Genomic DNA, 16,658 nt, shown 5'->3' on the forward strand with positions numbered 1-16,658 from the left:
TCCAGCATAACAAAATGCTCCAGGTTCCTCTTTTATCTACCCAGTCCCAGACCTCTAATCAGTCCATTTCTGAGGGACCCCAGACTGCAGGCTGAACAGTGTTCCCAAAATGTCCTCACAGAAACTTCCACCTCAACATGAATAAACTTACCTCAGCATCCCCCAATCTGCGCTGATGACTCACCAGCATTTATATCCCTTTCCTTCCTTAGTAACGGAACCTCATTTCTATTCAGGGAAGCAATGTGCCCAGCGAGGACGACTTTACTCCTCACAGCTGCCCGCGTGATCGAGACTGGGCCAATGAGACTTATGGGAATGTTGTGGGACGTTCCTTCCGGGAAGGCACCTCAGAGCGAGGGCAGATAACGGGGTGAGACGACAGCGTGGCAGAGGTCCAGGGCACCTGCTCAGCACCTGCTGCTGGGGGAATGTGGGCCACAATGGAGCAGATCTGGCTTCTCAGGACACACCACAAGTCAGCACTGTTATGAGCAATCTCCTGATTTTCAATGCTGTCAAATATTTTTTTAAGCTTGAAAATTAGAAACAAAATTAAGACACTGTATAGGCCAGATAGGACCCAGCTGTGGTCTGAGTGTGGCTGGAAGGCCCATGTATTCCAGGGATGGGGCCGACAAAGCAATGCCGAGCTGCGTTCCTTTCCTCTCCTCCAACCCCATGAAACGAGGGTGCCCAGCACCCTGTCCATGGTGCCACCAAGAGGCACCATTAGCCGGCTCTGCTCAGCACATTCCTTCCACTCACACTGGAACAGGTTTCCTTGGGCTACCGCCTTCTGTTAAATCTGTAAGCTTCAGCTCTTCCCTACTGGAACTGATGAAGGATTCTGATTTCCCCTGAAAAACGCTGAGGGCTCTCCCTAGAGACATCACTTGCACTGAAGGCTTAAGGGCTCACATTACATTCACATACTAATTTCCAGGCTCTGGGCTCTTGCCAAAATGCTAAGGTAATTTAATCTGTAGTTCCCACTCTGAGTTTATGAAGAAGTATGTTAAGTAATCCATGGGATGGCCTCAATGAGCCAGGAAAGTTGTGGGGACTCAGGAAAGTGGCTCGCCAATGAGGACAAGTAGACAATAAACCACCCATCTTCATTTTATCCTCACAATTGTTCTAAGAAGTGACACTGGAAGTATCTGGGTAAATTAGCAAAGATAAGTGAAGATGAAAAGCCCACTGTTGGTGGGGATGTGGGGATATAGGGCTAATGTCATCGGCGACACTCCAGAAACAACTCATCCACCAGGGAGAACCACAGCAACAGCTCAGAGGCTGCAGTTACACTAGAATTCCACTCTTGAGAAATAATCTAAATTGAGGGGAGGAGGTGGATACAGCTTGCACAAAAACACTCACAGGGTTCAAAAATCATAAACAAATATATTACGATGAGTTTTAAAGCCTGAGCTTCAAGGTCTAACTCCTCAAAGAATACTCCAGAGCAATTTCACTGATTTTAAATGACTTGTGTGCGCACCACGTCAATACATGAAGAAGTGTATATGGAACGGCATTCACCTCACATACAGCTACAACGACCATCTCAAGCATAGCCATGTCCAAGAGCCCCCGCAGCAGAGCAGCCACCCACGGCAGCATGGAGGACAGCCTGTCAGCTCCCCCGACTGCAGGAAGAAAGGAGGATGGTGCGCATGCCAACTGCCTAGCTTTGGGGACTGAACGAGCTATCGGAAAAAAGAGCTGGTGCCGTTGCCACGGCTGATTTTACATCTTCGTAACCAAGAAAGGAGCTTGCCTGAGTCAAGAAGTCTCATTTAACATTCTGAAGTGTGGGAGGGAGGGAGGGAGGCAAGAACTGTCATACGGTTTTAGCAGCCACCCCTGCCTGCCCTGGCTGGCTGATGTGGGATCCACGGCACAGGGAGGAGCAGGTTATGTGGAAGGCAGCTGGGAAGCGAAGGCCATGTCTGCACTGGGCTGCCAGGAGGTCAGAAGGTCAGAATATCTAACCAAGGAGCTGAGGGTGGTGGCAGCAGCGCAGCTCTGGACGCCATCCCTTTGCATCCTTCTCATCTCATGCAGCCTCACAGCAGTGCTGTGATGGGAGACCTGCACTGGTGTCTGGGGCTGCCCTAACAGGGAACAACAGACCAGGCGATACAAGGCAATACAAATTTATTATCTCCCAGCCCCATGGGCCAGAACTCTGAAATCAAGGTGTCAGTAGGGCCATGCTCCTGCAGAGACTCTAGGGGAGGATCCTTCCTGCCATTTCCAGCTTCTGGTGGCTCCAGGTGTTCCTGGGCTTGGTGGTTATATCATTCATCTCTGCCCTATCTTCTCATGGCCTTCTCTGTGTCTATCTCTGTCTTCTCCTGTTTCTTATAAAGACAGGTGTCACTGGATAATCCAGGGTGATTCCATCTTGAGAGATCCTTAACTTAATCATATCTACAAAGACCCTTTTCCCAAATAAGGCCACATTCACAGGATATCTCCAACCCTTTAGAGCAAAGCCCTCAACTCACTTTCTTTAGCCATTCCCAGTGCCTGCACAGGGTTGGGTACTTAATGATAAGAAACCAACAAACATTGGAGATCAACAAGACTACAGTGCTCAACCTTGTTTGAACGGTGAGAAATGGAAGTACAGCAAGGCTAAAGAGATGACCCAAAACCTGGCAGCTGCTTGACAGGGAGCTGCAACCCAAAGCCAGCCCCTCTGATTCACCTGCAGTCCCTCTCTGCATCCACACGCTCAAAGCAGTGTGCCAAGCTCCACACAGCAGACGTGATGCAGCAAGCGGGAGGCAAACAGGATCTTCGTGAATCAAAGCAATCGGCTCATTAATTCACAATATTATCTCAGATATGTAATCAGAGGAAACAATGTGGGCTTAAAAGGTCACACATAAATAAATAATTATATCAAGAAGACAACAAACGCCTTAGCTCCTGTAAACAGCAAAGTTTCTGTGATATACTCTGTGTTTACTGCAGTAGAGGCTACGTGGTCCAGAAAGAGGTGGAGGCAGGCAGAGCCCTGCACGGGAGCACTATGGGAAGAGTTTAAATGCTCTCCATAACTCCTCTTTATTCAGGTACTTGATTTCTCACAGGTGAAGGTGCATTAGGAACGCAATGCCATCTATTGATAATAAAGGCACTTTAAGGAACCATGGGAAAGAACTCATGCAGTGTTTCAATTGTAGAGGAATTTTTAGCAGAGAATATTTAGGAGCCGTGTTCACGGGCAGTGACAGGTGCCCCTCAGTCTGCAATGGTTCTGCTGAATTTCTACAAGCTCTTTGAGTAGCAGGTGTTTCATGAAAGCTAACTAAAAAAACTAAAGGCAGCCAGGGCACAAATGAAGCCTGGACTCAAGCAGAACACACAGGTGGAGACAGGCCTGCCGGGATTGTGCTATGGCCCCGGGGGCCCTGGCATGAAAGTTAAACATCCAGCTATCCTCTTAAGGCACAGCTCCCCCAACCTCCTGCCTGGTGGCTGCATCTCACACATTTACCTAACACAGGGAAGACTCTGAAACCCACAATGGGGACCCACACTCCTCCCTCATGTTCTGCTCCACAGAGCCTTTCAGCTGAAACGGAGCAATGCTTCCCAGCCCCGACAGGTCTGAGCCTTCTCCAGAGACTCCCGTTTCTCACAGCACTGGAAAAAGCCTTCTGGGACAAGGCAGGCATGGGTTTGAGGTCTAGCTCTACCCGCTTCGCAAGCTACTTACCTTCTCATAGCCTCAATGTCCCAATACGTAAAATAAGTTTGCAGAGAATTAAACAGATTGTAAGGCACCTCACAAAGAGCCTGGCCCAAAGACTGTGTTCATTGAATGGCGGCCATTATTAAAAGAAGTTAATGTTTTGGCCACTAGTCACATCCCTATTCCACTTGTATTATACATACAAGTGTACAAAACGCACACAAAAAAGAAACATGGCTTTGAAATATCCACGAAGAAGTTAGAGTTACTTCCGTCAACAAAACCCTTAAGAGTTGAGCTATGTATTAATAATCACATATTTATGCAAATAGTGTAAAGTAAAAGGAATCATTGGTACCCTGATTGTAATCCCAAAAGATTCCAAATACGGTGGCTATGGGCTCAGAGACCAGTGACTAAGGCTTTGGGCTTCTGCATGAAGTATCTAAAAAGTGCAACCGGACCACACACGGGGTTGCTCACCAAGAGCTCCTCGCTCAGAGGGAACCAACTTGAGAGCATCGTGACCTGCTCCATGATCTGCACTGAGTTCACCCAACGGAAGGCAGGAGAGTCAAGGCCAGTGTTTTAAGGCAGGGCTATCACGACCTCTCAGTCCATGGAGATGGCAACCCCAGGATCACGGGCTCACTAGTGTAATACAGGCGGCCAGGGCTGCACCTTCAGAGGGCAAGCTAGCCGGCCCCAGTACTACTAGTGCATCACTCATGCTCTCATACCTCCACAACCACGTGAAGCTCAAGTGAGGGAGAGGCCGTAATGGCATCTGCAAAGTCAAGTATGACATAAAGGAAAGGAACTGGTAGTAGTCACAGGAGCCTATAGCTTGGGAAAAGGCTCCAGGCTGTGTCATAATGCACAGGCTTTATATGTCTGGGGTCAAAGGATGAGGAACTGAACTGCTGGGTGATGGGGTGATCTTCACAGTATTTGCAGGCAGGAGAAGAGCACTTCTCTGGTCTTTGGCTGCTGAATGCCATGGGCAGGGGAGCACACAGGGTGAGATTTAGAAAAAGAACCACTGCCATCTACCACTGGCCATCAGCAGAGGTAGGCCCTGGGTGGCCAGGAGAGTCAGAACTGGGATGGGCCAGTCCAAGCCCCATTGCTGGAAACTCTACACATCACACATAGGGCCTCACGTAGGGCCTAAATAGGAGGCCCTGCTTAGGATGAAACACTCACTAGGAGAGTGAGCAGTTGAGGCCACGGCAGCACCAAGGAGCATGTTGTCTGTGCCCAGGTTGGCCCCACCTCTGTGTAGCCAGAGTGAGCTCCATTGTCCAGGTTTGATATCAAGACCAGAGTCAAGGTTGGTCCAGGTTTCTGCAGCACTGACAGAATACACTCCTTTCGGTACCTGGCCTGCATGTCCCTCCGAGCATGAGGACAGCCAGGACAGAGTCACTGTGAGCCTGAGAGATAGTTTGTCCCTGCCAGTCAGCACTGGCCAGGGAAGCCCAGGCAGAAGCCTGCCAAGCATGTCTTATAGAAACCAAAACAGATACCTTTATTGCATACTTTGCACATATGAAGAATATATCTGTATAAAATTCTAAAGACTTTTGTCCAGACATTATATTTTTCTTTTCACCTTTATTCCTTTTACCATGCCCTGTAAACACCCCAGTAGGAGAAAAAAAGGAAACAAGTTAGTTCAGAACATGTTGTGCCTCAATTTATCTGTAGGTGACCTCCACTTGGGCACCAGCACAGAGCCACCACTGACAAGGTTCAAAGCTTTCACAGGGGAGAAGGAGCTGAGCCACCAACAGATCTGGCCCAGGCGTGCAGCCCAATTTGTGAGCGAGTCTGCTAACTGGTAACATGTGAGCTGTTCATTTGGAGTCACACCTTAATCTCACTGTCCTGAACTCTTAGCTATGCCTAACCAGCAGCTGGCTAAGGACAGCCAGTTGGTCAATGAGCCTGATTCTCTGAATTTATTAACTCTGTACCCTCCAGAGTAGCATCTGTAAAAATTCAACCTAGCTTTTCATTTTCAATTTACTTGTTTTTGCCTTAGATGTAAGAACAGTGGAGCTCTTGGGAATGACCAAGACCTCAAAGGGCCAAAGCTCAAGTGCCCACAGAGACGATCTCTGAGCAGTATGGAAAATGCTCAGGAAAACCCATCTGCCCCAGCAGCTGAAATTAACAACCTCACTGCTTAAGTGTAAATAGGCTTGTTGGTCAAAAGGGGCATCACTGCAGGTTTGAAGTCCACCTGGGAGCCCTACACACAGGTGCCCAAACTTACCAAAACGCACTTCCCGGGCTCGAGACTCCAGAGAGAACTCTCAGTGTTGATCTTGTGGGTGAGCTTCCCTTCCATGAGGACGCGCTCCCCATTTTCCTCCAGCATGGCCACACGAATGGAGCTGCTGCTAAGGGCCACTGAGACCTGGGGACACAGCAGAAGAAAATCATCTCTCCTATCAGGGTGACCACTGGTGTGCTGTACGGTGGGAGTGGTGATGGTTTCCAAGGTACCTGACTGCACACTACAGCGCTGTCATCAGGCTCACCAGGCATCTCAGTGAAGAAAACCATACCAGCCTAATTTATACCTAGAGCAACCTGAAGATGTCAGCTCATTTAGTAAATCCACCAGAAAATCTTTCTCAGCATAACTGGTAACGTAAAATGCTGTGGTGGAAGCTGCTGTGACCCAATCTTCTTCTCCCTTCTCCAGTTAACGGAGACCAATTGTCACAGCAAAAAGTGAGCAGAGGAGACAAGTGGTATTTCTTCCTTGCCTCCCCTTGTGGCTACCTGGGAGACGCAGGAGCCCAGCCCTGGACCACAGCAACCAAGAAAGCTGAGGGGGCTGCACACCCTGAATTGCTCACCCCAGGACTGCTGTACAAGAGACAAGCACCACCTCTTCCTTCCATGAGCCACTGCACTGCCTGGTTGACTATAGCCTGGTCTTCATCCAAGAGTATGAGACCAACTCCTTTGGTTTTGGAAGGCAGCTATGCTCACCAATATACCACCAACACTCGCACATGGTTTTGCATTTTGTCTTGGTTCTTTACAAAACCAAGCCTCTAAAAGCCTCAGCTCACCCTCCTCCCTCTGAGCCTGTCCTAGGCAGAGACTGGCCCCATGGCCTTCCCCACCGCCCTAGGAACACCTATCCCTGCCCCACCACTTGTCCGTCTCCAGAACTGGACTGGCAGCTGTGGGAGTAGGGTTCCTTTTACTTCATATCATGTATTCCAGCCAGCAGTCTCCAAAGCAGGGTATGCATACCCCAGGAGGTTCACAGGTCAGTAATTAGAAGAGGAAATAAAACAGAACTTCCATTTACATTTTGTATCTGTATAATGTATGCATTAAGAAGACACTGGGATCAAGTACTTAAAACTTTTTTCTAATAGGTATGTGGAATAAAAATAATTTGGAAGCTACTCTCCATGTCATTTGGTAGATGGCTCATTAAACGCTTATAAAATGATTGGAAAAAAAGACAACCCAAACTGATAGATTTTCCAAACTGGAGTTTAGTATTTCCAATGAAATACAATACCATAACCTAACTGTAGTTTAAATATTCGTAAATAAAAAATGGAAATGGGAGAAATGATGTGCAGGAGTCACCGCTGTCAGTTTTTCTTCTTTTTCTTTAAGAGACACGGCCTCACTGCATTGCCCAGGCTGGAGTGCAGTGGCGTGATCCCAGCTCACTGCTGCATCAAACTCCTGGGCTGAAGCAATCCCTCCACCTCAGCCTCCCGAGTAACTGGGACTACAGGTACGTGCCACCATGCCTGGCTAATTTTATTTTTATTTTTTGTAGAGACAGGGGTCTTGCTGTTGCCCAGGCTGGTCTCGAACTCTTGGCCCCAAGTGATCCTACTGCCTCAGCCTCCCAAAGTGCTGGGATGACACATGTGAGCCACCACATCCAGCCCATCAGATAGTTACTAAATGAAAGATAGTTCCTGAGCCATGCAGTGAGGGGAGAAGGTGGCAGAAGGCTGCCCACTGGGGGACACAGCGAAGATATTCTGCTAACCACAGGCGGCTCTGCCAGGTTCACATGCAGACTCCAAGGAAGCATCCTCTCATGAGATCGCAGTTCCACTTGCATGACCTTTCATAGGGGAATTTACCACGGAAAAGGGTATTTACTTGGCTAGTCCTATTGAACAATAGGCAACTGAGCTTCACTCCCTACCTTCTAACACCATGAGGAACGTGAGCAAATGGAACAACAGATCCACTCACTCCTGAAATGATCCAGACACATGTTGGGCCAAATCATGTCTAACCATGAACTTGTGTGCAATGGAAACACGACACAGAGGGCCCAAGGCTCCTCAGCCTGCCTTCACAAGAACAAGCTCACTTAACAAATATAATTCTCCCACCCAGCTCTATATAACATAATAATTTCCAAATTTGGGGAAGCTTCTCACACTGCCTACCCAGGGGAATGAACCAAATCATCAAGGGAGAAAACCAGACAAGAAATGCTTCCAGAGGTCCCAGGTGAAGATGTCACACTGGGAACAGACAGCCATCTCTCTGACCTCTTGTGAACTGCAGGCATAATAGGCATGAAGAGAAAAACCCCAGACAGTGAAAATGGGGGAAGAGGGAGGCCAGGAACAGATGAGATGTCAACAAATCTGCAGAAGACAAAAGGAGGAGGGGCACAGGAGACAAATCCTATAGGGTAGGAGACATCCAGAAGCCACAGCTACATAGGCTCCAGTTGGGAGTCGGCAGGTATGCAGAGCAGGAGCAAGGCCAGGGGCACATGTGGGAACTGCTGTGGCCCTGGACGCCCCACTGAAAGGGACAGGAATCCCTCTGTTTGCTACAGAAGAATGGAGGACCTTGCTCCAAAGACACTGACCAGCAGTCTGAGGACCTAGTGTGGATGCCTGTGTGTCAAGTGAAGTCCTACTCACTCAAGCATTAGGATGCCAAGACCCTATGTCCTATAAAGCAAAGCTGACTGGTCAATCCACTCAGCTGTCGGTGGTGGTGGGACGAGCAGGTTTCAGACACACAGTAGACAAACCCATCAATACGGTCCCACACTCAAGAGAATGGGAGAAAAATATTTTTGTATTAAAAAAAAAAAAAAGACCGGGCATGGTGGCTCACACCTGTAATCTCAGCACTTTAGGAGGCCGAGGCAGGCAGATCACCTAAGGTTGACAGTTCGAGACCAGCCTGACCAACATGGAGAAACCCCGTCTCTACCAAAAATACAAAATTAGCCAGGCGTGGTGTTGTATGCCTGTAACCCCAGCTACTCCGGAGGCTGAGGCAGGAGAATCGCTTGAACCTGGGAGGCAGAGGTTGCGGTGAGCCGAGACTGCACCATTGCAACAGGAGCCTGAGCAACAGGAGTGAAATTCTGTCTCAAAAAAAAAAAAAAAAAAAACTAGAGAACTGAAGACTGCATCTTGTGAGAAAAAACAGGCAGATGAAAACAAGTTAAAAAAAAATACAGAGCTAATTTGGAAAAAAGATATCCAAAAATATTTCTATTTTATGTCTTCACAGAGATCTGAGAAGACACTATATCCATATAACCAGAATAAAATATGAAAATAGAACAATTAGGCCAAAAAGAAAGAACACAAGAATTTAAAATACAGTAGCTAAAATTAAACTTCAATAAAGAGGCTGGAAGATAAAGTCAAAGAAATCAAGGTAGAAACACAGATCAATTCAGGCAATCAATTTGGCATTCCAGAAATTATGACAGTAATAAGATAATTTTCCAGAGCCAAAGGAAAATATGCCTCCAGATTGAAAAGTCCCACCAAGAGCTAAGCAGAATGAATGAAAGACTCATGAAATTTTATGACACTGGGTGTTTTTAAAAAGGTCCTGAAAGTTCCAAGGAGGAGAAAAAGCTTACTCACAAAGAGATGGAATAGACTTCCAGAATCAATTACACAGAGTGTAAGAAGATATCCCTTTCAATCCTAACAAGGGAAAATTATTTTTAAGCTAGAATTCTACATACACCCAAACTGAGAAATAAGTGAAAAGTTAAAATAAATGCATTTTAAGATATACAACAATTCTACATTATATATCACTTTGAGAAAAACAAAATGAGGATGAAAACTGAAAAAGAGGAATATCCAACTCAAGTCCAAAAACTGCATTTAATCTATAAACGCAGGAAGAAAATACCAGGAGTGTAGCTATACAGCAGAACAGGAAATAACCAGTCTAGAGTGGAGTTCAGGCAGAAAGAGATTTCTAGACAATACTCAGTATTAATGAATCTGGGTAATTCTGAGGTTATGATGAAGTATACTATTTTTGATAACAAGATAAAAAAGAAGGGCAGCAAGAACCCTCAGGAAAACAAAAAAGATTTAAGAGATTCCTGATCCAAAGGATGTCAGTGAAAATGGTGGTTACTACAGGCCTCCAAAAAGCTCTCCTCCATAAAAGCAACCAAAAAGTTGGCAAAAATTGTCAGTATCAACTTCTTATGGATTTTGGAAACTAACCAAAGGTTTGCAGGAACCCAGGGAGCATTAATTCAAGGAAAACAACCACATCTCAGTAAGAACAGTGAGCTCTGTGATATTTTAATTTGGCCTAGACCCATCCCCACTCTCCAGGCTCTCAGCAGGCCGCATTCCTGGTACAGCGTAGCAGCCATCGCTGGAGAAAACAGTGCTCTTAGAGCTCTTTCAAAGCTTCATTCTCAAAGAACTGTCATCATTTGACCTGTCTGATGGTTCCCTGTAAGACCTCATTTGCAAGACTGACTGACTGTTTCTGGCTAAACTCAGAAAAGCCTTCCTCCCAACCCAGGAGTGTCTGTTGAAAATACGGCAAGTGTTTTAACTTTGCAGCCTCCTGAGGTGGCAGATAACAACTGAGGCAAACCAAAGGCAAAGGTGGGAAATAAAATGTCCGTGGGGGCTTTGAAAAGCTTTGACATTTTCCCAGGAATCTAGAAAGACACATGAATGTACAGAGCTTCACTGCACACTCAGGAAAAACCTAAGAAGGCCTTAAGCTCTCACCTCTGGCTGACTTTGACTCAACATCAGCAGGAAATAAAGGCTAAGGCAGTTTTTAACTGTTAGGCCAAGCAATGAAGGTATGCTCCAACAGGTAGATGAAGCCCCTCGACAAAAACAGGTGTTTACTGATCCCAGGAGTTTAAGGAAATCGCCATCTAATAATTACTTGGCCACTAAGTTCACCAAGTACAGATTTCACTGGTCAGACACAATAAAGAATACAAACTTTACAGAATTAGTTCAGAAAAGTCATTAAACAAGAACAACTATATCACGTACCAATAGCAACCATGGGAAGAAAGGAGCATCTGATTTCCTGAGTCACCCCATTGTGTTATTTAAAAATCCATTTCTCAATAACAGCAAAAAAAAAAAAATTAGACAAAGAAACAACAAAGTATGGCCCATACATAGGAAAAAGAAAGCAATCAATAAAATCTGTCCCTGAGGAAGCCCACATATGAAGAACTTAGCAGAAAACAGTCTCTAAATCACCTATTTTAAATATGCTCAAAGAGCTAAGAAAACTATGCAAAAATTACTAAAGGAAAGTATGGGAATAACGTCTTTTAAGTAGAGAATATCAATAAATATCAGTATCACTATTGATACTGATAACGAGATAGAAATTATTATTACCATTTTTTTAAGAATCAAATACAAATTCTGGAGTTCAAAAGTAAAAGGGGGAAAAGATAAGCGTTCATGAAAGGGGCTCAAAACCACTTTTTAGCATTTAGAAGAAAGAACAAGCAAACTTGAAGACAGGTCAATTGAGATTACCCAAACTGCGAAACAGGAGGAAAAAACAGTGAAGAAAAATAAACAGAGTCACAGAACCTGAGGGACACTATTAAGCATACCAACATACAGAAGAGAAAAGAAGAAAGAATATTTGAAAGAATAATGGCTAAAAACTTTCCAAATTTGACATGAAAAAAATTACACCCAAGAAGCTCAATGAATTCCAAGTAAAATAAACTAAAAGGGAGCCAGCCTCACCTAGATGTCATAATCAAACTGTCAAAAAAGCCAAGTCAATAATGAAGGAACAGAACAAAAACAAGGAATAAAATCTTCAGAACTTACTATAAAGCTACAGTAATCAAAACAGTGTGGTACTGGCATAAGGACAGGCATCTATACAGATCAATGGAACAGAATTAAAAGTCTAAAAACAGCCAGGCACAGTGGCTCACGCCTGTAATCCCAGCACTTTGGGAGGCCGAGGTGGGTGGATCACGAGGTCAGAAGATCAAGACCATCCTGGCTAACATGGTGAAACCCCGTCTCTACTAAAAATACAAAAAAAATTATCCGGGTGTGGTGGCGGGTGCCTGTAGTCCCAGCTACTTGGGAGGCTGAGGCAGGAGAATGGTGTGAACCCAGGAGGTGGAGCTTGCAGTGAGTGGAGATCCTGCCACTGCACTCCAGCCTGGGGGACAGAGCAAGACTCTGTCTCAAAAAAAAAAAAGTCTAGTAACAGGCCAGGCATGGTGGCTCACACCTGTAATCCCAGCACTCTGGGAGGCCGAGGCAGGCAGATCATGAGGTCAAGAGATCGACATTATCCTGGCCAACAGGGGGTAACCATATTTCTACTAAAAATACACAAGTTAGCTAGGTATGGTGGTGCGTGCCTGTAGTTCCAGCTACTCGGGAGGCTGAGGCAGGAAATCGCTTGAACCCAGGAGGCAGAAGTTGCAGTGAGCCAAGATCGCGTCACTGCACTCCAGCCTGGCAACAGAGCGAGACTCTATCTCAAAATAAAGTCTAGTAACAAACTCATATATTTATGATCAATTGATTTTAGACAAGAGTACCAAGACAATTCAATGGGAAAAGAATAGTATTTTCAAGTAATTGTACCATGAGAACTGAGTATTCACATGCAAAAGAATGAAACTGGTCTAATAATTCAAAATGAAGTTGGACAACTATTTCATAGCATATAATAAATTTTTTAAACTCAAAATGGATCAAAAACCTAAATGCAAGAGTTAAAATCTGTGATCTTGGGTTAGGCAACGGGTTTTAGATATAACACCACAAGCAGCCAAAGCAAAAAAAAAAAATATTGACTTCATCAAAATTTAAAACTTTTATGCTTCAAAGAGTAGTATCAAGAAAGTGAAGACAACCCATAAAATGGGAGAAAATATCTGCAAATAATGTATCTGACAAGGGTGTAGTATCCAGAATACGTAAAGAAGTCTTACAACTCCACAATAAAAAGGCAAACAACCCAATTAAAACATGCATATGGACTTGAATAGGCATTTCGCCAAAGAAGATACACAAGTGGAAAATAAGGACATAAAAAGATGCTCAATGTTATTAGTCATGAGGGAAATGCAAATCAAAACAATGAAATCCTACTTCATACCCAGTAGGATAGCTACAATTAAAAAACAAAACCAAAACAGACAATAACAAGGGTTGATGAGGATACAGAGAAATAAGCACCCTCATACATTTCTGGTGGATCTGTAAAATATAAAATGGTACAACCACTTTGGAAAACTGTTTGACAGTTCCTCAAAAAGTTAATTATAGAGGTACCACATGACCCAGCAATTCCACCCATAGGTATATACCCTAGTGGTGAAGACAGAAAACATATGTCCAGAGAACTGGAAGCATATGTCCATGTATGGGTGGTAAAGGGAAAGATTGGAGGTACAAGTAGATGCACAGTGGGGAAATACAGAGACGCCTCTTTCTAGCCTCATTCCACAGGACAAGTCCTCAGATGCCAGCAAAGGACAAGCAAGGCAGTCTGAAGGAAGAAAAGAGATTGAGACCACCTTAGATACAATCTTGTGGCACACTCATGTTCAGGCAGATGCCATGTCACAGGCCAGAGGTCATCACCCTTAGGTTCTGATAAGAACTCTACCACTGAGGCCCCTCTAAGACTAGGAAGATATCCAGGAAGCTGAGCAATGTGTCCCTTACCAAACAATAAATAAGATGAAGATACACATGCAAGTACACTGTGTGTGGATATATCCAAAAAACACATCCACGTGTACTGAGCATAATTAAAGTTATATTCGATGCAAAAACTGGTTTAAAACCCAGAGTACTCACAACCAACATGGCACAAAATCCTTATTCACATACAACTTGTAACAGATGGTGTATACAATCTAGATCATTTTATTACAATTTTTAAAAATCAAGTGTCCATTTTCAGCTTCAGTTGTATCTAATTTTGTTCAATTTCAAGTTCTATCTGTATTTTTTAAACATTTGCATTTTAGAACGCCTGTATCTAATCAAATACAATGGGAAGATCAACTGTAAGTGATACAATTCATACTATGTTAGGCTGTTGGTTATGAACAAATGAGATGGGGCCCAAATTGCCACTTAGAAGTCTTCTATGAAGAAAACAAATCATTTCATTTCTGCAACAATTAAATTAGAAACCATTGGCAGGGCCGGGCGCAGTGGCTCACGCCTATAATCTCAGCACTTTGGGAGGCCGAGGCAGGTGGATCATGAGGTCAGGAGATCGAGGCCATCCTGGCTAACACGGTGAAGCCCCGTCTCTACTAAATATACAAAAAATTAGTTGGGCGTAGTGGCAGGCGCCTGTATTCCCAGCTACTCAGGAGGCTGAGGCAGGAGAATGGCGTGAACCCAGGGGGCGGAGCTTGCAGTGAGCTGAGATCACGCCACTGCACTCCAGCCTGGGCGACAGAGCGAGACGCCGTCTCAAAAAAAAAAAAAAAAGAAAAAAAAAAAGAAAGAAACCATTGACCATTGGCAGAATTCAGACAAAACTATTCTAATGGGGTAAAAAGATCAAAGTGGATTATAAGGCAGCAAGAGTTCAAATAACTGACCAAAGAAACTCTACCAAACGCAATCTGCTCCTATCTAATCCTGATTCAAATTTCAGAAGCCATGAAAAAACAAAGAACCAATTAACTTGAATACATAAAAATTAGTAAGGTGAGGCTGGGCATGGCAGCTCATACCTGTAATTCCAGCACTTTGGGAGTCTGAGGCAGGGGGATTACTTGAGCCTAGGAGTTTAAGACCAGCCTGAACAACACAGGGAGACTCCATTTCTACAAAAAAAAAATTTTTAATTAATTGGGCATGGCAGTTCGTGCCTGTGGTCTCAGCTACCTGGGAGGCTGAGACGGGAGAATCAATATAAATCAACTCAAAAGGTTAATAACAAAATGGGAAAACAGATCTGCAATACATATCACCTACAAAGGACTGATCTCTCTAATATATACAGAACTCCTAGAAATCAGTAAGAAAAAGTACAGCAACCTAATAGAAAATGGGCAAAAGATATAACTAGTTCAAAGGATAGGCACATGTAGAAAGATGCTCCACCTCACTCTAAGAGAAATACAAATTCATACTACACATAGATACTATTTTTCATCTATTCAACTTACGAAACCCCAAAATTTGATAACATACTATTGTCAGCAAATTTGTGAAAAACCAAGGGCTCTTGTACATTGTTGATGGATATGTAAGTTAGTATAACCCCATATGGAAGATAGTTTAGCAACACTTACAGAAATTAGAAATACAGGCCGGGTGTGGTGGCTCACGCCTGTAATCCCAGCACTTTGGGAGACCAAGGTAAATGGACTGCTTGTGCCCAGGAGTACAAGACCAGCTTCTTGAGCAACAAAGGAAAACCCCATCTCTACAAAATACAAAAAATCAGCTGGGCATGGTGGTGCACGCTTGTAGTCCCAGCTGCTCAGGAGACTGAGATGGGAAGATTGCTTAAGCCTAGGGAGGACAAGGCTGCAGCGGGCCATGATGGGTAACAGAACAAAACCCTGTCTCAAAAAAAAAAAAGAAAAAAGAAAGAAATTAGAAATACATATACCTTTCAATATAGCAACTACACTTCATGGAATTTTTTCTATATGAAAATGCATATACGCAAAATGAAGTTTATTAAAGGGCATTGTTTTATTGTTTACAACAGGAAAGATTGGAAACAACCTAAATGTCCATTAACAAGAGGGTGGTTTAATAATCAGCCTATAGTTTGAAGGGGGCAAAAGCAAAGAACAGGAGTCCCAGGTGTGAGGGATGGTGGGTTTGGGGCACTTGAGCCAGATGACCAGGGAAAGCAAAGTCTACCTAGAATTTACTGGGCACCCCTCAGGCACTTGGGGACATGGAAGTAAAAAGAGATGGGAGTCACTTTGGTGCGGCCAAAATGACACTGGGCAGGGGCAGTAAGATCATCTTAAAAAGTGGAATGCACCATCTGTGCTAAAGGTGGGGACACAGCAATACATGTTCATACTTGATTATACATGCATAAAAATATTTGTTGAAATATCCCCAAAACCAGTTATGTGATGACTTAGGTTAGGGCTGGCTGGGGAGGGGTCAGGACAAGACAGAAAAGACACAGAGGCAGGACAGGGATTTTTGTGTTGTTATACAAGTTTTTGCTTTTGAACATATAAATGTGTTATGCACTCAAAAATTATGTAAATACAAAAATAATGCAGTCTATTAGTCTTTTCTGTTATGGAAGTTTCCTATAATAAAACGTTTTCCTGCATTTTTTCCTAAGCAACTTCTAAGAACACGTTATGGAGCTTTTAACACAAATTCCAGCACTTACATCAAGCTCACAGGCAAGGCCTCACTACGAATCTAAGCCTGGGGATCAGTTAGAGCCATAAATGACACACCTAGTGGCTAAGGTGGTGTTCCAAAAGGTACCCAAGGTGAGGACAAAGATGGCAGGTCACAACAGTGACTGCACCAGCCTGCAGGACCACTCACAATCTATGAGAGGAAGAAGACTCAAGGGAAACAGATTCACTTGTCACTCAATAACATCCAATCATGACTTCATTTGCAATAAGGCCATAAAACAGGGTGGAGGTGAC

General features: G+C 44.3%; 1 protein-coding gene across 3 annotated transcripts in view; it reads right to left on the minus strand.

Moving 5' to 3' along the window:
- NUDCD3 (NudC domain containing 3) overlaps nt 1-16,658 on the minus strand; it is a 111,540-nt gene that overhangs the window by 19,328 nt on the left and 75,554 nt on the right. For 2 of the 3 annotated variants that reach the window (NM_015332.4, XM_011515247.3), the window contains exon 4: nt 5,994-6,137. In NM_015332.4, coding sequence (NP_056147.2) covers nt 5,994-6,137 — 144 coding nt within the window. Of the gene's footprint in view, nt 1-5,993; nt 6,138-14,749; nt 14,838-16,658 lie in introns of those variants that run through there. The other variant, XR_007059994.1, reaches the window with a different exon arrangement.

This window comes from Homo sapiens, chromosome 7 (genome assembly GCF_000001405.40).
Source record: "Homo sapiens chromosome 7, GRCh38.p14 Primary Assembly".
NCBI classification, from domain to species: Eukaryota; Metazoa; Chordata; class Mammalia; order Primates; family Hominidae; genus Homo; species Homo sapiens.